This window comes from Homo sapiens, chromosome 9 (genome assembly GCF_000001405.40).
Source record: "Homo sapiens chromosome 9, GRCh38.p14 Primary Assembly".
Lineage (NCBI taxonomy): Eukaryota > Metazoa > Chordata > Mammalia > Primates > Hominidae > Homo > Homo sapiens.
The window spans coordinates 82,489,824-82,512,671 of NC_000009.12; the positions used below are offsets into that span (position 1 = coordinate 82,489,824).

A 22,848-nucleotide genomic window follows, 5' to 3' on the forward strand; every position below is an offset into this window, starting at 1 on the left:
TTTACCAACCTGTGTCTTTACACACACTTTTAACAAAGATTCTAGAATGAATTGTAAAGTTCCAAATAAATGGGCAACACACATACACACACACACTTTTTCAAGAAACTGAAAAACTTAAGACAATTTTTTACCTTACTCTTTTTCTTTCCAGTCCTCCTTCTAGCAGCAAGGATTAGGAGCACAGGGATGCATTCTGTATTACACCTTTTAGGAAGCAATAAATCAGAGGCAAGACATCACCTTCATTGCTTTAATTGGTCTCAGTCATAACCACAAAACCACTGTGCCAGCTTCCCTAATTCCCATATAGCACCGCTGGAGTGAGCAGAGCTCTCCAACACACAGATACCTTTAAATAGTTATGCACTGAAGTTGTGGCTGAAACTAAAGAAAAAGGCAGCAGAGTGCCAAGAACTTCACGTGAGCTAATGATGAGCAAACGAGTCCCCCCAGGCTCCTTCATTCCATTCTCCTTAATTGAGCTATTCTCCTTGCAAGAAGAGTTTTTGCTGATTGATTTGACTCTATTGTTTCTTGTGAAATCCAGAAACCTTACCCTCATTCACTCTACTGTTGTTTCTTTTTTTCCCAGCTGGGATATGGTTTCAAAATATGTTCCTAGTTCGCTAAAAGACATCCCTAGGGAATGAGGTCACTTGGGTTTTTCAATTAGAAAAAAAAATAAACAGTTTTATTCTTCTGGCAATCCTTTTTTCATTGTATGACCCCTCCTAATAGCAATGTTCCATTATCTTATTTCCATGTAGCATCAGAATGTTCTCAGGAAAGGGGGACAGATAAGAGATGTAATGAGATGCTAGTCACTTTGGCAAACAGCATATTCTATCTAAAAGTGGGTTGTGGCCGGGCCCGGTGGCTCACACCTGTAATCCTAGCACTTTGGAAGGCCGAGGCAGGTGGATCTCTTGAGGTCAGGAGTTCGAAACCAGCCTGGCCAACATGGTGAAACCCCGTCTCTACTAAAAATACAAAAACATTAGCCAGGTGTGGTGGTGGGCGCCTGTAATCCCAGCTACTCAGGAGGTTGAGGCAGGAGAATTGCTTGAACCCGGGAGGCAGAGGTTGCAGTGAGTCAAGATCACACTACTGTACTCCAGCCTGGCGATAGAGCAAGACTCCATCTGAAAAAGAAAAAATAATAAAATAAAAGTGAGTTGTGTTTCAAATATGTATTTATGATCCAGTTTTTTGGAATTCAGTTTGTGATTTCTGGTAGAAGGAATGTTATAAATGGGGGATATGATAGGTTCTCACAAAAACTTTTTTTTTTCTTTTTTTTGAGACAGAGTTTCACTCTTATTCCCCAGGCTGGAGTGCAATGGCGAGACCTCGGCTGACTGCAACCCCTGCCTCCCAGGTTCAAGTGATTCTCCTGCCTCAGCCTCCCAGTAGCTGGGATTACAGGTGCCTGCCACCACACCCGGCTAAGTTTTTGTATTTTTAGTAGAGACGGGGTTTCACCATGTTGGCCAGGCTGGTCTCCAACTCCTGACCTCAAATGATCCACCCGCCTCAGCCTCCCAAAGTGCTGGGATTACAAGCATGAGCCACCACGCCCGGCCCTCCCCAAAACTTTTTAACACATAATGTAACCCATAATATAAAGTACTATATTAGGAAAAAAATAAAAATGAAAATCCTTCATGTTATAAGATGCAATTCTGTCTGCCATTTATATGGGAGTCTAGGAATATGAGCCCAAAGAGAGAAGGAATGAGAAGAAGGGGAAAAAACAGTTTCTTCTCACATTACTGGTAAGGTTATCCCATGCGACAACCTGAAAGAAACAAAATTGGTTTGGTACCCTCTTCCAGAAACTCATCTATAATTTTTTTCTCGCTTTCTCACAGTCACCTTGCGGGTCCAAGCAGTTTCATGTTTCCCTAAACTGTTTTATTATGAAACCCTCCTTTCCTGTTGTCAAGTATAGGATGCTTCATTCATCTTAATCAAAATACATTGTTGTCATCAAAAGGAATTCCTGGTGACCAAAATAATTTGCAATGAGGTATGAATGACCTCATAATCATTTCAGGCTATTTGCCCTTAAAGTAGCATGGAAATCAGCCCCAAAGAATCTTTTCATTTCATTTGTTCATTTCAGGCAATATGATAAAATTGAAAAATTTCACAAATGTCAGGAGAACAAGATCTGGTGTCTGGGTTTCAACTCTTAGAGCTTCCCAGCTCGTAGCTATGCTCCTGAAGTAAGTATTCTGACTTTTCACATGTTATTCTCTCACTAAAAGCTCTGCATTGCAGAGAAGGTATCCCCAGAACTTCAGCATCCAGAAATCCCTTAGTGAAGCTGTCTCCCTTCACTAGGTTCCTCTGTCTGAAAGTGTTGTTAGTACATGGGGTGATTGTAAGCCCAAGACTGTAGCGGAAAATAAAGGGGAGCTCTGAGATCTAAATTTGAGTCTTGGAAAATGCTAGCCATAACTTTCATAATTGTTTTGGGCAAAACATTTTTTTTTAATTGGTCACAGAGCAAGCTAAGAAATGAGGCATTTTGAACTGAATTGCTAATTAGATTTTCATGGGTCCTAAAACTGGCTAGATGGGTTTTGAAAGTTTTGGGTTTGGTTTCGAAGATCACAGCAGAACACAAAGCAGCGTTTCTTAAAGTGTGGTCCATAAATCACTCCTGTCCTCTGGTGGCTTTGGGGCAAATCGTTTATGAATTTCAGAGGAAAAAGGAAACTTAAAACCCTTCATTCACAAATATTTAACACATTTAAAACATAAGATAAATGTAATTCTCACTGATGTATGCTCTGGTTTTAATTGTCATTAGCATCCTAAAAGTGGCCCACGTGCTGCAAGAACTCTGCTGATCAGGTCTCAGCTTCCATTCGGTTAATCAAATGCAGTGTGCTTAGGTCAACTTATTTTCATATTATTAGCATGTTACCATTTGCATTTGTTACATTTGACTTTTTTACATTGTCACTATTGGAATTTATTATTCAATTTCTAATTTTATAAGAAGAGCAATCACACAAAAGTAGTTTATGAAAACATAAAGACAGTTATAAAAGTATTGACAGAAATATACCACCACTATAATCATCTTTAGTGACCAGGATTCAGAATGAATATAGAATGTGATTATGTATGTGCTTAGACAAGGGAAAAACAGCTAGAAGCATCTGGATATAAAAGTGAAAATAGGAAATCCAAAAATAAACAAAGGAAAATTTTATTTAATAAGGCCAGCGATCATTTTGAACCTAGTGTGTAGTAAATCGCCTTTTATAAAACTTGATTAAATAGTAGCATGAGGTCTTCAGAGCTTTGCATGCATGTACTATGTACTTCTCAGGCTTTAAAAATGATTTTTTTCCATAGAAATGATTTTTTCTATAAAAATACTTTAAAAATAATTGCTGGATTTTATTGCCAACAAAAGTGGGAATATACAACTTATTATTTCATTTATCTTTTGTATTTTTTTTCTGTTTCAATTTCATTTAGCTCTGCTTTGATCTTTGTTATTTCTTTTTTTCTGCTGGGTTTGGGTTTTATTTGTTCTTGTTTCTCTACTTCCTTGAGGTGTGAGCTTAGATTGTCTATGTGCGCTCTTTCAGACTTTTTGATGTAGGCATTTAATGCTATGAACTTTCCTCTTAGCACCGCCTTTGCTGTAGCCGAGAGGTTTTGATAGATTGTGTCACTATCATTCAGTTCAAAGAATTTTTTAATTTCCATCTTGATGTCAATGTTGACCCAACAATCATTCAGGAGCAGGTTTAATTTCCATGTATTTGTATGGCATTGAGGGTTCTTTCTGTAGTTGATTTCCAGTTTTATTCCACGGTGGTCTAAAAGAGTACTTGATATAATTTTGATTTTCTTAAATTTATTGAGACTTGTTTTGTGGCCCATCATATGGTCTATCTGGCCTATCTTGGAGTATGTTTTATGTGCTGATGAATAGAATGTATATTCTGTAGTTGTTGGGTAAAATGTTCTGTAAGAATCTGTTAAGTCCAATTCTTCTAGGGTATAGTTTAAATCCATTGTTTCTTTGTTGACTTTCTGTCTTGGTTACCTGTCTAGTGCTGTCAGTGGGGTATTGAAGTCTCCACTATTATTGTGTTGCTGTCTATCTCATTTTTTAGGTCTAGTAATCATTGTTTTATAAATTTGGGAGCTCCAGTGTTAGGTGCATGTATATTTAGGATTGTGATACATTCCCATTGGACAAATCCTTTTATCATTATAGAATATCCCTCTTTGTCATTTTTAACTGCTGTTGCCTTAAAGTTTGTTTTGTCTGATCTAAGAGTAGCTACTCCTGCTTGTTTTTGGTGTCCATTTGCATAGAATATCTTTTTCCATCCCTTTACCCTAAGTTTATGTGAGTCCTTATGTGTTAGGTGAGGCAGCAGATACTTGGTTGGTGGATTCTTATCCATCCTGCCATTCTGTGTCTTTTTAGTGGAGCATTTGGGCCCTTTATATTCAACATTAGTATTGAGATGTAAGGTACTATTCTATTCATTGTGCTATTTGTTGCCTGAATACTTTGGTTTTTTTATTTATTTATTGTGTTTTTGTTTTATAGGTGAGACGTATGCTTTAAGAAGTTTCTATTTTGGTGTTTTTGAGGATTCATTTCAAGATTTAGAACTCCTTTTAGCAGTTCTTGTAATGCTGACTGGGTAGTAGCAAATTCTCTCAGCATTTGTTTTTCTGAAAAAGACTATCTTTCCTTCACTTATGAAGCTTAGTTTCACTGGATACAAAATTCTTGGCTAATAAATGTTTTGTTTAAGGAGGCTGAAGATAGAGCCTCAATCCCTTCTAGCTTGTACAGTTTCTGCTGAGAAATCTGCTGTTAATCTGATAGGCTTTCCTTTATAGATTACCTGATGCTTTTGCCTCATAGCTCTTAAGATTCTTTCCTTTGTCTTGACTTTAGATAACCTGATGACTATGTGCCTAGGCAATGATTTTTTTTGCAATGAATTTCCCAGGTGTTCGTTGAGCTTCTTGTGTTTGGATGTCCAGATCTCTAGCAAGGCTGGGGAAGTTTTCCTCGATTATTTCCTCAAATATGTTTTCCAGACTTTTAGATTTCTCTTATTCCTCCAGAACACCAATTATTCTTAGGTTTGAACACTTAATATAGTCCCAAACTTCTTGGAGGCTTTTTTTAAAATTCTTTTTTCTTTATTTTTGATGGATTGGGTTAATTGAAAAACCTTGTCTTTGAGCCCTGAGGTTCTTTCTTCTGCTCGTTCGATTCTATTTCTGAGATGTTCCGGTGCATTTTGCATTTCTCTAATGTGTCCTTGATTTCCAGAAGTTGTGATTGTTTTTTATTTATGCTATCTGTTTCACTGAAGATTTTTCCCTTCATATATTGCATCTTTTTCTGATTTTATTAAATTGGACTTCACCTTTCTCTGATGCCTCCTTGATTAGCTTAATAATTGACCGTCTGAATTCTTCGGTAATTCAGAGACTTCTTCTTGGTTTAGATCCATTGCTGGTGAGCTAGTGTGATCTTTTAGGGGTGTTAAAGAACCTTGACTTGTGATATTACCAGAATCATTTTTCTGGTTCCTTCTAATTTGGGTAGACTATGTCAGAGGGAAGATCTGGGGTTCAAGGGCTGCTGTTCAGATTCTTTTGTCCCACAGGATGCTCCCTTGATGTAGTGTTCTCCCCCTTCCCATAGGGATGTGGCTTCCTGGGAGCTGAATTATAGTAACTGTTATTTCTCTTCTGGATCTATCCACCCGGCAGAGTTACTGAGCTCCAGGCTGGTACTGATGGGTGTCTACACAGAGTCCTGTGGTGTGAACAGTCTTCATGTCTGTCACCCATGGATACCAGCAACTCCTCCAGTGGAGGTGGCAAGGGGGTTAAATGGACTCTGTGAGGGTACTTAGTTTGTAGTTTTGCTTACTATACTAGTTTTGTGCTGGTTGGCCTCCTGACAGGAAGTGGGGCTTTTTTTTTTTTTTTTTTTTTTTGAGACGGAGTCTCACTCTCTTGTCCAGGCTGGAGTGTAATGGCACAATCTCGGCTCACTGCAACATCCGCCTCCCGGGTTCAAGCAATTTTCCTGCCTCAGCTTCCCAAGTAGCTGGGATTACAGGTGCCTGCCACCAAGCCCGGCTAAGTTTTGTATTTTTAGTAGAGATGGGGTTTCACCATGCTGCCCAGGCTGGTCCCGACCTCAGGCGATCCGCCTGCTGGGATTACAGGCGTGAGCCATGGAGCCTGGCCCAGGTGGAGCTTTTAAGAGAGCATCAGCTGCGGTAGTATAGGAAGGATCAGGCAGTGGGCAGGGCCCTAGAGCTCCCAAGAGATTATGTGTTTTGGCTTCTGGCTACCAGGGCAAGCAGAGAAAGATCATCAGATGGGGGCAGGGTTAGGTGTGTCTGAGCTCAGACTCTCCTTGGATGAGGCTTGCTATGGCTGCTGTGGGGGATGGAGGCATGGTTCCCAGGCCAATGGAGTAATGTTCCCAGGGGGATTATGGCCGCCTCTGCTATGTCATGAAGGTTGCCAGGGAAGTGGGGGAAAACCAGCAGTTACAGGCCTCACCCAGGTCCCATGCAGCCCAAAAGGCGAGTCCCACTCCCACTGTGCACCCGCCAACAGCACTGAGTTCATTTCCAGGCAGCGGTGAACAGGAATGAGAACTTGCCTCAGACTACCAGCCTCCTGGCTGATAAAGCAAGCAGAACTTTCAGGTTTCACACCTCCCCACCTCCCCCAGCTTCTGTGCCATGTCAGCACACCCAATTCACCCTCCCCCCTACAAGTTCTGTCCAGGAATCTTTGCGTTCGGTTGAAACTGTTACAAAGTTCATTTGAGGTTTCCTTCCCTCTGCGGTCTTTTCCCAGTTCCTCTGGCAGCCCTCCTCAAGGACCTCTGTGAGACAAAGTCAGAAATGACTTCACTGGAGACCAAGAGAGCCCACAGAGCTCTTCCTGCTGCTTCTTCTACCCTTGTACTCACTCGGCTCTCTAAATTTGTCTCAGCTCCAGGTAAGGTTGGATCTTTAAATTTGTCTCAGCTCCAGGTAAGATCGGATCTTTAAATTTGTCTCAGCTCCAGGTAAGTTTGGATCTTTCTCCCGTGATTTGGACCTTCAGGTTCCCCACTGAGGGTGTGTGTTTGGGGATGGATCATCCCTCTTTCACACTTTCACACTTTGGACACTCTCAGTTTTTCAAGTTTCTTGGAGCCTGTGGGAGCAATGCACTTCCTTCAAAGGGTCTCTTGGCTTTCCTGGTATATTCCTGTGGTAGTTCTTGGAGCAAAAGTTCATAATATGAGTCTCCACACAAGAGTCTGCTTACTAATCTTGATTTGGTGTTGAAGGAAATACAGTACAGAAATTTGTAGATAAAATCAGATGGCAGTATGTGTCTTTTTAGCCTACTCCCCTGAAAATGAGATTCTTCTTTTCCAAAGTGAAGTATGCTGTTTTCCAAAAGGAAACTTTTATAACTTTTTAAATGGTGAAATACAACACATGAAGAGAAAGATGCATAGGAAATAAATGCACAATGTAATGAATAATCAGAAAGTAAATATCCTTTTAACTACTACCTAAATAAGGGAATAGACTGTTGTCTACACTGTAGAAGCAACCCCTTGCCCCAGGGTATCCCTTTTCAATCACATTCTCTTTATCCCTCTTAGATTAAGACATTGTCTTGATATGCACATTACTTTCATTCTTGAGATTCTTTGTACTTTTATTGCTTTTATATGTGGCCCTAAATAAAATGTCAAATATTAACTGGTTTTAAACTTTATATAAATTCATAATTTAAAAAAGTCTCTCAATAAATAATATGTTTGTAAGATTAAATTAGGTTTATTGTACCTAGCTCTAGTGAGTTCACTTTTCCTGTAGTATAAAATTCTACCATATTAATAACCACAATTTATTTATCCATCCTAACATTCTGATAGCTTCATGAATGTTAGAATTATTTTCAGCTATTGCAAAAATTGCTACCATGAACCTTCTTTTACATGTTTCTAGGTATGTGAATACATTTTTCTAGGTATATACGCAGAAATGGAATTGTTATTGTTTGGTCATAGAATATTGTATGGGAAATGACACTTTTCTAAAGTGGTTTAAAGATAAGTGTTGGTGAGAATGTTGAGAAGGGGCACCTCATACACTATTGTTTGGAATGTAAATTAATACAGTAATCACAAGCCAATTTTCATTCATACCAATCCTGCATAACAGCTTCTTGCTTCATATCTTCACCAATACTTGGTATTGTCAGACTTTTAAATTTATTCAGTCGCATGGATTTGTAGAAGGACATCACTGTAGTTTTAATTTGCATTTCAAGATGGAAATTGTGTACATGAATACTTGAAATAATAAAATTAAAAATGTCTTCATAATATTGATAATTCCAGTAAAGACCTTTTCTATTACTTGAAATGGTTCATTCAAGTCATATAACTAGCAGTATATTTGCTTAACTCATCAGACAAATCAATCAATATTTTCTTGACTTGATTTCAAGATTACATTCACATAATCAATGAAACATAAACAAATATTTTCTATTTGTTTGTATAAATAAGGGTAGTGGTAATACTTCATTTACTGCATCTTCCAATTTGAAACTTTGAAACCTTTGTTACTTGTTTACAGTTTTTTCACTGACATCATTGGTGAAAGAGAGCTGAATGTTATATTCAGTGTATTCTGTCCACAAGCTTTGGTTTAAAGTACAATAGAAATATCTCTCATTCTCCCACAAAGTCTCCTAACACGTGCTAGCATTCTCACTGTTGAATAGTATTGCAAAGGCAGAATGTAGCATAGATGATGTAAATACTAAGCAAAGAAAAGACACAGAGCTTGTGGTTTGAGCTAAAAGAGTGATTTTTATCTCTGTGGAGGATGCCAAACAAAACCATCCCAATCCTTGGTAAGAAATGGTAATATTAATGAAAAGTATATTTTCTATCATGTTTTATACTTGCTATTTAGATTATGATATTTTTTCACAAAAATTAGTAATCACAGTTCCTCCAAAAGACCATTAAGTGGTCTATCAGAGACAGAATTTTGGTAAACACTAGTAAGGTAGAAAGTGCCGATGATGAAGAGCTGATGACAAGGATTTTAAGACTGACTTGGCCCTGCAGCTTACTGACCATCTGGGAGAATCATTAATGCTTCTGAGTTTCTATTTCTTCATCTGGAAAACAGTCCTTGTTACAGCTGCCCTGATTTTCTCATGGTTTGTCTAGATAAGATAATATGAAAACATATTTAAAGACCAGTCTGCTTCCAGCTGTGATGGAGTAATTTGTATCAGACCCACTGTTCTATAAGAGAATTTTGAAAGTTGGCTACGGCACAAAACCATCTACAAAAACAATCAAAATAAAACCCAAACAAACACCAAAACCAATGCTGTTTTTGAAGGCACTGGAGACCAACCTAAACAGCCAGAACATGAGGGACCAAGATTTAGAGAAAAGGGAACCATAGAAAAGTGTAGGAAATTTCCCCTCAAGACATTTTGAGACCCACTAATCAGTAATTAAGCAGAGCAAGATTCTAAGAAAATAAGTATAAAGCAACTATTAAAAAGCTAAGCAGAGATTATCACAGCTTTGGGATTTGCTAAAGGCCTTAATAAACACTCTTGGGTTTTAGTGGCAAACCCTGAAAGCTTACTCCCTAGGAGTGCTAGAAAACCAGAAATAGACCAGTCTTTACTGGATCAAGGAGAAATACTTGTATTCTAATGTCTGACAAATAAAAATGAAATTCCCTCTAGGGTAGATAACATTACCTAGGACCACTAGGATTTTCATACATGTTATTTGTCATTCATTCAAAGACTTCCAGGATGCCAGGAAAAATAACCAAATCTACAGAAATCGGGAGAAAATAGAAACAGATCCATAAGTCATGCAGCCGTTGGGACTAAGTGATATGAACATTAAAATAATTATGATTAATGTGTGCAAGGAAAATAGGGAAGGTGGATAATTGCACAGCAAATTAAGAAACTATAAAAATAACAAAATAGGAATCTTTATAATTAATGTAATTTAACAGCAGATTAGACTCATAAGAAAAGGATTCATATATAAGAAGATAGGTTAGTAGAAAATATTTAGATTGAAGGAGAGAAAGAAAGAGACAGAAAAAAAGAGAGACAAGAAAGAGAAAGAGAGATGCTTTAAAACCATAGGAGATATAAGGTACACAGTAAAAAGATTAAACTTATGTGTTATTGGAGTCCAGAAAAAGAAGCGAGATAGAAAGGGAGAGAAGATTCTCTGAAGAGATCATAGCCTAGAATTATCTAAAATTGCTGGAAGTCTACTGATTCAAGCATATCTATGAATCAAAAGCAGGGCAAATCAAAGAACATCACACCTAGATACATCATAGTAAAACTGTTGAAAGCTCAAAACAAAGAGCAAATCCTAAAAGCATCTATAGGAAAAAAGATACATTACTTTTAAAGGAGAAACATTAAAGTTATGGTTGACTTTTCAATAGTGTGATTTCTTTCTTATATGTTTGCAAAAATTGACCAGAGGATTTATCTAGGCATGAAACACTCTTTGCAAGAAAATTTTAGACTCATATTCAATTCATCAACAATATAAGGAAAATTGGATTATTTCATCAATTTTGATAGTTAACTTTTAAAAAGGAATTTGTCCATTTCTTCTAAATTTTAAAATTATTGGTATAATATTTAAAATTATATATTCCTATTATCTTTTAAATTATACTTTGTAGGAATATTCTCTTTTATCAGCATGTTATAGTAATTTGTGACTTTTTTCTATTTTGTGCCTGTCAATCTTTATAGAGGTTTATCAATTTTTTTATTTTTGAAGAATAAACTTTGGCCTTCTTTATTTTTCTACTTCATTTTGTTTTCTATTTCATAGATTACATCTCTTAAATATTTTATTTCTTCTATGACTTTAAATTGCTGTTTATTTACTAGTTCCTTTATGTGGTCATTTAATCTTTGATTTTCAGGCTTTATCCTTTTGTAATACAAGCATACATGCATTTTGACCTATAAATTTCCCTCTGTGAACTGCTGTGGTTCATTTTATAAGGCCAGCATGACCTTAACACCAGAGAACATTATTAAAATTTCTTGGTGGTAATGGCCAAATCTCTCATCAAAAAAGATGCAAAATTTTAAAATAAAAAATTAGTAAATTCTACCCAGGATTACAAAAAAAGAGCAATATATTGTGTCTAGGTAGGCTTTATTCCAGTTATACAAAATTGGCGTAATAATAGAAGAAGAAATAAATGTTATTTGTTATACTAAAAAAGGGTGGAAAAGTCTAATGTGACCATCACAACAGATTTTTAAAAAGCAGTTACTTAGGATAACAATCCTTCAGAATAAAATACCTGGTATTCTTAATGTGCCAGAGTACCTACCAGAAATTGATACCAAAATAATATTTAATGGCAATAATATTAAAATAAATAACTAAAAGCTTTCTTTCTGTAACTGAGAATGACATAAGAATGTCTTGCTTTTAACTCTTCTATTTAATATTATACTGAATGTTCTATCCACTGCAATAAGATAAGAAAAATGAACAAAAAGAAACAAGCATCAGTAATGTAGAAGAAAACTACAGTTGCCATTATTTGTAGATAAAATTAATGTGCCCATAGAAAATTACCAAAAGAATCAAACCTAATGAAAAAAACAAGAGTACTCCAACATGCAACCTGAATGAATATCACATAATGTTGAATGATAGAGCAGAGATAAATGTGTACATAATATTTGATTCTACTTATGTGAAGTTCTGAAACAGGCAAAACATATATATATATATATACACACACACATATATAGAAATCAAAAGAGTGGTTACATTTGGTGAGGAAGTAATTATTGGAAGGGTACGTGAGAAAGGGTGTGGTGAGGAAGTAATTATTGGAAGGGTACGTGAGAAAGGGTGTTTGATCTGGAAAGTGGTCAATAGGTATGCACATAAGTAAAACTTATTGAACTGTACATAAAAGACTTGCATACTTTATAGTATGTATGCTACACCTCACTACTAAAGTAAACAAAGAAAGAAACCTTATAACCAAAGAGAAAATTTATGAATTCCTATTATGCCTCCTCTGTCTTATCTCAGCTAATTATAGGGCCATTTTATATAAGGCTCTATATATGTTTTATCTTTTATTTATAATCTTATTAATATAAGACATAATTTATTAGTTATATGACTTATATTTTTTGTAAGGGTCCTATAAAATGAAAATGAGTATTTCCAATCCAGATCAAAGATCATGGTGTGGCAAAGGGGAAATACTCAATGTTTTCTTAAGGGAGAGAACAGTGACATCTCTGTGAATGGAGCTATTTACAGAGGAGGATGTCTCTTACACTCTCTTGCAAGATCCTTAATGGTGCACACCCAAGTGTTAGCCTGGAATGTAGTAATAATCTGAGCTAATTTTTATTGGAGATTTACTCTGTGCAAGGTTTTTTTACGTGAATGATCTCAATTACTTGTCATAACAACCTGTGAAGTAGCTAACATTTTGTCCTCATTTTAAAGTCAATAAAACAGAAGCTCATAACATGCCAAGTCACTCAGTTTGTAAGAGGTGGAGTTTAGATGCAAGTCCAAGTCAGTGCAAATCTCAAGACTATGCTCATAACCATTGTATTATACTTCCAAGAAAACAGTTGGGTATATGAGTCAGAAACCTCTATATCTCCATTATAGAATTGAAAACAATCCGTTTATTAAGTTTAAACTCTGGAATTCCTCCTCATTAGGGAATAAGACCCAAAAGGAAGGGATAATATTTTATTCATCTATGGGCACCCATTGTTTAGCACAGGACATGTCACATAACAGATATTAGGCTTAATAAACATTTGTTCAGTGAGGTAGCTCGAATATCCATGGTTGTGGTGTTACTGTAGAATCCATCCATTCCTGCACACTTGTTTGTAACTGAAATATAAATTATCTCCCTTAGCAAGCTTCACAAGGTAATAAGCATATTCATCAAATAATTCCAATCCAAACTGTGGGACTCACTGGTATTTACTGCATCTGAAATTCACAATTGGTGCACAGAAAGCAAAAAGAAGCATCCTAGTGATTGCTTGAGAATTCAATTTACATATTTTTATACACTCAATGGAGTAAAAGCAAACTTTAGGGCTTCTGAACAAAATTATTCCATTTTGTTACCACATTTTCCATTTTCTCAATAAAGTGATAGCTACTTATTGATAGTTTTTGTGTTTTCCAGACACTCTCTTTGTGTTCTGGAGATAAGCTGTCAATATAACCCCAAAGAATCTTTTGGAAGGGCAAGAATTCCCAAGGATACTACCTAGAGCTCCGCCAGCAGACACATGCCTTAAAAATTTTTCTTTTCTACCAACTCTTTGTCCATGGAGATAAACCAATTTTCCTCTTTTTTTGTAATGCACAGGATCTACAGGGATGCCTGGGTAAGGAATTTAGCATATCATCCTAGGAATACCTTGGTCTTTGGTTTGGCAGTACATCATCACTGGAGGTGGTAACAGTTGTGCAACAGTTTATGGGTGTGGTGTGGGGTCTAGCGGCTGCTTTTATTTTTTCCCTTCTAGAAGTTTATTTCCTTTGAGTCGCTTTTTAATTATGATGGATTTGTTTTATGTTGTATATATTCATTTCAAAGATCTTAGGCAGTCTTTTTTTCAAGATTCATGGAAACAAAGATTCATGATTCTGATGAAAAAGAGTGTTCAACATCTGTCAGGGCCTATGTTCCTACACATTTTTGATGGTACATATTTGGCATTATAAAAAGTTATGTAATATCCATGAGGACATGAATAAATCTCTGAATTATCAATGCTCAATCTCAGTGTCTGCCCCATTCATAAGTAAAGTTAAAATGTTCAGGAAGATCCAGATCACCTTCTGCCCCAATCTGTGATTGATTGATTTATGGTAAGAACACATAACATGAGATCTAACCTCAGCAAATTTTTTAGGGCACAATACGGTATGGTTTACTAAGGCCACAATATACAGCAGATCTCTAGAACTTACTCATCTTGCACAACTAAAACTTTACCCATTGAACAGCAACTCCCTGTTTCTCCTTCCCCCTTATTCCCTGGCAACCAGCATTCCACTCTCTGTTTCTATGAGTTTGACTATTTTACCAACCTCATATATATACATGGAATCATACAGTATTTGTCCTTCTGTGACTGGCTTATTTCATTTAGCATAATTAAACTTATGTTACTTCTTTAACATGAGGCTGTTGCAAAAAGGGGAAAATGTAAATTGAAGAAACAGTGGTTTCCTAATATTAACAAACATAGAGTATAATGTCAGGTGTTATTCAAGACCTTTCTCATCTCAACAGCCAATGGGACTGTCAAGATAGACCATGTCTTGTTTGCCTCTTGAGTTTAGGAGTTACTGTAGAAAAGTCATTAAAAAATAATAGTTGCTTGTAAGCAGGACACTGAATTTTTTGATTTCTGAAATTCTATATAAAAATTCAGAATATTTTTACCTAAATAGATCTGCTTATTAGTAAAAATTTACAAGAAAAATAGATTCAGAATCTCTATCTCTCTTTCATGACAAGTGTATGTTTAATGTGAGAAAGGGGCTAGGTAACAAACACCCTTCATGTTGTGAGTTAGGCCAAGATTTTCTCAAGATTCTTGGAAGTGAGTTGTAGGGCAGTTCTGGAAAGATGGCGGATAGGGACAGGGCTGACATGCAGCTCCCACTTGGACAGGACAGAACATCATGTGGAGACTCACACCATGAAATTTTGTTCCAGGAAGCACCACAGGAGCAGACCAGGGAAACCAAAATAATTCACAGATCCTTTGAAAGAAGCCTCAAGCCACTACAAATTCCACGAGACATGCAAAAACTCTGGTGCTCTCTTGAAAGCACCACCTGCTGGCCAACCACCAACTCAGGACGTTACAGCAACTCATGACAGAACAACCCTGCTCCAAGGAAGGAGAAAAACAACAGATAATTCCACTGTCTGCAACATCCTGGCTAACCAGTGGTCCTGAATCTGTCCACATGACAACTTTACTGCTAGCAGAATCAGCATCCAAGAAAGCCAACACACTAAACATATGTACAACCAAGGACTCTCACAGAGTCTACTTCACTCTCCTGCCACCTCCACCAGAGCAGGTGCTGGTATCCATGGCTGGGAGAACTGAAGATGGATCACAGCACAGAACTCTTTGCAGACATTCCTCAACACCAGCCCAGAGCCTGGTAGCCCTGCTGAGTGGCTAGACCCAGAAGAGCAACAACAATCACTGTAGTCAGGCTTGCAGGAAGCCCCATCTGTAGGGGAAGTGGGAGTACACTGCATCAAGAGACCAGCCCATGGGACAAAAGAGTCTGAAGAGCAGCCCTTGAGTTCCAGATTTTTCCACTGAAATAGTCTACACAAATGAGAAGGAATCAGAAAAGTAACATTGGTAATATGACAAAACAAATTTCTATAACACCACCAAAAGACCACACTAGCTCTGTGACAATGGATCCGAACCAAGAAGAAATCTCTGGATTGCCAGATAAAAAATTCAGAATGTTGATTATTAAGCTATTCAAAGTGATACAGGGAAAGGTGAAAAGGAACTTAAAGAAATTTAAAAAACAACACAGGGTATGGATGGAAAATGCTGCAGAGAAATAGATATCAAAAAGAAAAAGCAATCACAATTTCCGAAAATGAAAGACACACTTAAAGAAATAGAAAATGCACTGGAAAGTTTCAACAATAGAATCAAACAAGTAGAAGAAAGAACTTCAGAGCTTGGAGACGAGGCTTTTGAATTAACCCAATCAGATAAAGACAAACAAAAATAATTTTTAAAAAAGGCCAGATGTGATGGCTCATGCCTGTAATCCCAGCATTCTGGGAGGCCAAGACAGACAGATCACTCAAGCTTAGGAGTTCAAGACCAGCCTGGGCAACATGGTGAAACTGTCTCTACTAAAAATCCAAACCTTAGTTGGGTGTGGTAGCACAAGCCTGGGATCCCAGCTACTCAGGTGGTCGAGGCATGAGAATTGCTTGAACCTGGGAGGCAGACGTTGCAGTGAGCCAAGATCACACCATTGCACTAAAGCCTGGATGACAGAGTAAGACTCTGTCTCAAAAAAATAAAAAAAATAATAATAAAAGGATAAAGCCTCCAAGAAATCTGAGATGATGTTACATGGCCAAACCTAAGAATAAATGGTGTTCCTGAGGCAGAAGAAAAATCTCAAAGTTTGGAAAACATATTTGATGGAATCATTGAGGGAAACTTCCCTGGCCTTGCTAGAGATCTAGACATCCAAATACAAGAAGCTCAAAGAAAACCTGGGAAATTTATCACAAAAAGATCATTACCCAGTAACATAGTCATGAGGTTATCTAAAGTCAAGACAAAGGAAAGAATCTTAAGTACTGTGAGGCAAGAGTTTCAGGTAATCTATAAAGGAAAACTTATCAGATTAACAGAAAATTTCTCAGTAGAAACCCAACAAGCCAGAAAAGACTGGAGTCCTATCTTTAGCCTCTTCAAACAAAATAATTAACAACAAAACAAACAGAATGTTGTATCCAAAAAAATTAAGCTTCATAAATGAAGGAGAGATAAAGTCTTTTTCAGACAAATAAATGCTGAGAGAATTTGCCACAACCAAGCCAACACTGCAAGAAATGCTAAAAGGAGTTCTAAATCTTGAAACAAAACCTCAAAATGCACCAAAATAGAACCTCCATAAAGATAAATTTCACAGGGTCTATAAAACCTTAACACAAAGAAAAAAGAAAAAAACAACAAGGTATTCAGGCAACAACTAACATGATGAGTAGAATAGTACCTCACATCTCAATATTAATGTTGAATGTAAATGGCCTAAATGCCCCACTTAAAATATACAGAGTGGCAGAATGGATAAGAATCTACCAACTAAATATCTGCTGTCTTCAGGAGTCTCACCCAACACATCAGGATTCACATAAACTTAAGGTAAAGGGGTGGAAAACATTATTCTATGCAAATGGACACCAAAAGAGAGCAGGATTGTTAGCTATTCTTATATCAGACAAAACATACTTCAAAGTAACAACAGTTAAAAAAGACAAAGAAGGACATTGTATAATGATAAAAATATTAGTCCAATAGGAAAATGTCACAATCCTAAATAAATGCACACCTAACACTTGAACTCCCAAATTTATAAAACAATTACTACTAGACCTAAGAAATGAGATAGATGGAAACAGAATAATAATGTGGGACTTCAATACTCCACTGACAGCACTACACAGGTCATCAAGACAGAAAGTCAACAAAGAAACAATGGACTTACACTGTAACCCAAAACAAATGGACTTAGCAAATATTTACAGAACATTCTCCCCAACAACTGCAAAATAAACATTCTTTTCATCAGCATATGAAACATTCTCCAAGATATACCGTATGATAGGTTACAAAACAAGTCTCAATAAACTTAAGAAAATCAAAATTATATCAAGTGTCTTCTAAGATCACAGTTGAATGAAACTGGAAATTAACTGAAAAAGGAACACTCAAAATTATACAAATACATGAAAAATAAATAATCTGCTCCTGAATGATCTTTGGGTAAACAATGAAATCAAGAAGGAAATTAAATAATTCTTTGAGCTGATCAATAATAGTGACACAACTTATCAAAGCCTCTGGGACACAGCAAAAGCAGTGCTAAGAGGATCATTCATAGTATTAAATGCTTACATCAAAAAATCTGAAAGAGCACAAACAGACAATCTAAGGTCACACCTCAAGGAACTGGAGAAACAAGAACAAACCAAACCCGAATTCAGTGGAAGAAAAAAAAAAAAAGATCAGAGCAGAACTAATTAAATAAAACAAACAAAAAAAATACAAAAGATAAATGAAACAAAAAGCTGGTTCTTTGAAAAGATAATCAAAATTGATAGACCGTTAGATAAACCAAGAAGAGAGAAGATCCAAATAAGCTCAATTAGAAGTGAAATGGAAGATATTATAACCAATATCAGAGAAATACAAAATATCATTCAAGTCTACTATGAACACCTTTACATGCACAAACTAGAAAATCTAGAGGAGATGGATACATTCCTGGAAATATACAACCCTCCTAGATTGAATCAAGAGGAAGTAGACAGACCAATAACAAGTGGTGAGATTGAAACAGTAATAAACAAATTGCCAACAAAAAAGTTTCAGGATGAGATGGAGTCACAGCTGAATTCTATGAGGCATTCAAAGAAGAATTGGTACCAATATTACTGAAACTATTGCCAAAGAAAGAAAAAAGGGAATCCTCCCTAAATCATTCTAAGAAGCCAGTATCACCCTAATTCCAAAATCAGGAAATGGCATAACAGAAAGAGAAAACTACAAACCAACATCCCTGATGAACATAGATGTAAAAATCCTCAACAAAAATACTAGCTAACCAAATCCAACAGTATATAAAAAAGATAACCCACCATGATCAAGTGGGTTTCATACCAGGGATGCAGGGCTGGTTTAACAAAAACAAGTTAATAAATGTGAAACACCACATAAACAGAATTAAAGACAAAAATCATATGATCATCTCAATAGATGCAGAAAAAGCATTTGACAAAATCCACCATCCTTTAGGATTAAAATCCTCAGCAAAATTGGCATAGAAGGGACATACCTCTTGGTAATAAAAGGCATCTATTACAAATCCACAGCCAACATTTTACTGAATGGAGAAAACTTAAAGGCATCCGACCTAAGAACTGGAACAAGACAAGGATGCCTACTTTCACCACTTCTATTCAACGTAGTACTGAAAGTCCTAGCCAGAGATATCAGACAAGAGAAAGAATTAAAGGGCATCCAAATCAGTAAAGAGAAAGTCAAACTGTCACTGTTTGCCAATGATATGATCATATGCCTAGGAAACCCTAAAGACTCATTCAAAAAGCTCCAAGATCTGATAAATGAATTCAGTAAAGTTTCAGGAGACAAAATTAATGTACACAAATTAGTAGCATTGCTATACACCAACAACGACCAACCTGAGAATCAAATCAAGAACTCAGCCCATTTTACAACAGTTGCAAAAAAGCAAAATGCATAGAAATATACCTAACCAAGAAGGTGAAAGATCCATACAAGAACAACTACAAAACACTGATGAAAGAAATCATAGATGACACAAAGAAATGGACACACATTGCATGCTCATGGATGGGTAGAATCAATACTGTGAAAATGACCATACTGCCAAAAGCCATCTACAAATTCAATGCAATTCTCATCAAAATACCATCATCATTCTTTATAGAACTAGAAAAAAAAATCCTAAAATTCATATGGAACCAAAAAAGAACCCCCATAGTCAAAGTAAGACTAAGCAAAAAGAACAAATCCAGAGGCATCACATTACCCAACTTCAAACTATACCACAAGGCTTTGGTTACCAAAACAGCATGGTACTGGCATAAATATAGGCATGTAGAACAATGGAGCAGAATAGAGAACCCAGAAATAAAACCAAATACTAACAGCCAACTGACTTTCGACAAAGCAAACAAAAGCATAAAGTGAGGAAAGCACACCCTATTTAACAAATAGTGCTGGGATAATTGGCAAGCCACGTGTAGAAGAATGAAACTGGATCCTCATTCCTCACCTGATATAAAAATCAACTCAAGATGGATCAAAGACTTAAATCTAAGACCTGAAACCACAAAAATTCTAGAAGATAACATCAGAAAAATTCTTCTAGACATTGACTTAGGCAAAGAGTTCATGACCAAGAATCCAAAACCAAGAGAAACAAAAACAAAGATAAATAGATGGGATCTAGTCAAATTAAAAAGCTTCTGCACAGCAAAAGAAATAATCAGAAGAGTAAACAGACAACCCACAGAGTAGGAAAATATAGTCTCAATCTATACACCTGGCAAAAGACTGATATCCAGAATCTACAAGGAACTCAAATAAATCAGCAAGAAAAAAAAATCCCATCAAAGAGTGGGCAAAGGATATGAGTAGACAATTATTAAAAGAAGATATACAAATGGCCAACAAACACATGAAAAAGTGCTCAATATCAGTAATCATCAGGGAAATGCAAATTAAAACCACAATGAGATGCCACCTTGCTCTTGCAAGAATGGCCATGATTAAAAAATTAAAAAATAATGGATGTTGACATAGGTGTGGTGAAAAGGGAACAGTTCTACACTGCTGGTGGGAATGTAAAACTAGTACAACCACCATGGGAAACAGTATAGAGATTCCTTAAATAACTAAAAGTAGAACAACCGTTTGATCCAGCAATCCCGCTACTGGTTATCTACCCAGAGGAATAAAGGTCATTATATGAAAAAGACACTTGCATACACATGTTTATGGCAGCACAGTTCACAATTGCAAAAACAAGGAGCCAGCCTAAATGCCTATCGACCAATAAGTGAATAAAGAAAATATAGTATATATATATATATATATTTTATATATATATATATTATATATATATTATATATATATATTTTATATATATATTATATATATATATTTTATATATATATATTATATATATATATTTTATATATATATATATTATATATATATATATTTTATATACACACATATGTATATACACCATGGAATACCACTCAGCCCTAAAAAGGAACAAGCTAAAGGCATTCACGGCAATCTGGATGAAGTTGGGGACCATTATTCTAAGTGAAATAACTCAAGAATGGAAAATCAAACATTGTATCTTCTCACTTACAAGTGGGAGCTAAGCTATGAGGACAAAAAGGCATAAGAATGATATAGTGGGCTTTGGGAACTCAGGGGGAAGGGTGGGAGGGAGGTGAGAGAAAAAAGGACTATACATTAGGTACAGTGTACACTGCTCAGGTGATGGGTACACCAAAATCTCAGAAATCGCCACTAAAGAACTTATTCATGCAACCAAACACTGCCTGTACCCCCAACACTAGTGAAATAATATTATTTTTTAAAAAAATAATAAGCAAAGACTTATGGTTCTGATGAAAAAGATTTTTCAACATCTACCAGAGCCTATGTTTCTGTACGTTTTTTATGGAACATATTTGGCATTCTAAAAAGTTATGTAATATCCATGATGACACGTAGAAATCTCTGAATTATCAGTGCACACTCTCTGTGTCTGGCCGGTGCATAAATAAAATTATAATGTACAGGAAGATCCAGCTTATCTTTTGCCCCATTTGTGCAATTGACACCCTTTTCCTTTTGACACCCTTTTGTTTCCCTTTGAGGCCCTCAATAACAGTTAAGATTTTATGGTTGCAAACAGTAGAAAAGACTCTAACTTAAATAGGAAACAATTGATTGGGATATAAACATACGTGAGAACATAAGGGAGTGATATAAGAAACCTTCATTAGAAACATACGAAGAACCGACAAAACATAAGAGACATTTGGTGAACAAACAAGGAAAGAATAGGTATGGGGAGAGCCTCAGTGATCCATGTATCAGGAACTAATACATCAAGTTTTTAGGGAGTGGCTGATTGCTGGGATGAGGCAGTTTCTACTCTTCATTAGCCTTTTGTAATTCTGGGGAAAAGATCTGATTGGCCTAGATTGAGTCACATGTTCCCTATTGGCAAGGGGAAGGCCTGAAACCTTGACTGACAAACTGAATCAATCAGTTATTGGAATGTAACAAACCACTCCAAAACTCAGTGGCTTTAAATCATGCTAATGTATTTCCTACCTGCAGATAGGCTGGTGATCAGCTCTTGTAAGCTGGGTTCTGCTTAAAGATGTGGGGCAGATGGCAAAGATATACTCCATACACAGTTCATTCTGGGTCCCAGGCAGCAGGGTGGCGGCTACGTGGGAGAGGCTGTTCCCATGGCAAAGTATAAGAGCATAAGCGCATTTGAAGCCTTTGCTTGCATCACGTCTATTAGCACCCCATTGGCGAGCTTTTTGTGGGAGTGATGGCCGAATCAGCAGACAAAGGGAATAGATAGAGGAACGTGTGAAGAAAGGAAGCCAATAATTAAACTGGGGCAATTACCCAAGAATCAAAGAAATAATTACCCCAAAAGAAATCATAATGTTTTTACCATGAAAAGGATTCTTGTGGGGGAAAGAAAGAAATGAGATCAACCAGTTCCCAGATCCTGAAAGGCCTTGTTCTCACCTGGCTCTTATGAACTGCAGCTGTAGGTGGTTCCTCTCGTGGCACTTTCATATGCCAATAAGATGCCAAGAGCCAAGGATGTAATCTTTATGGGAGGGATGTGACAAGTATCTTTAAGGTAAAAACAGACCTGGTCAGATCACAGCTATATAATATAGCTATATAAAAGTAAAAATCACGGCTGTATAAAAGTAATGTGTCTATTTTTAGCAGTAGCCCTGAAAATGATTGTGATTACAGTATATTAAGACAGAAAAATCATATAGGAGGAGGGATTGTTGCTGTTACTTGCTGTATGAGAACTCTTGAGCATCCAAGCGCTTATAAATTAGTCCAGAGCAACAAGTTCAGCCCTTCTGGCTCTCTCTGTTGCTCACTTCAGCACTAGCCATTTCTGAAGCATTATTCTAGTGGATAGAGGTGTGTGTTCCTGTTTTATAATTTACCTTGCCTGGGAAATACTGATGAAACTTGAAGGACATAATAGTTTAACAAATCAAAAGGCCTCCTGATGCTGGTCCTTAAACCTAGACTGGGGTGGCTACATCAAACCAT

General features: G+C 36.6%; 1 long non-coding RNA gene across 1 annotated transcript in view; it reads left to right on the forward strand.

Annotated features, from left to right (window-relative positions):
- Positions 1-2,128: 2,128 nt before the first annotated feature.
- Positions 2,129-22,848, forward strand: part of LOC107987087 (uncharacterized) — a 288,244-nt gene continuing 267,524 nt past the window's right edge. The window contains exons 1-2 of the long non-coding RNA XR_001746782.2: positions 2,129-2,231; positions 6,892-7,035. This is a non-coding gene — a long non-coding RNA (uncharacterized LOC107987087). The remainder of the gene's footprint in view (positions 2,232-6,891; positions 7,036-22,848) is intronic.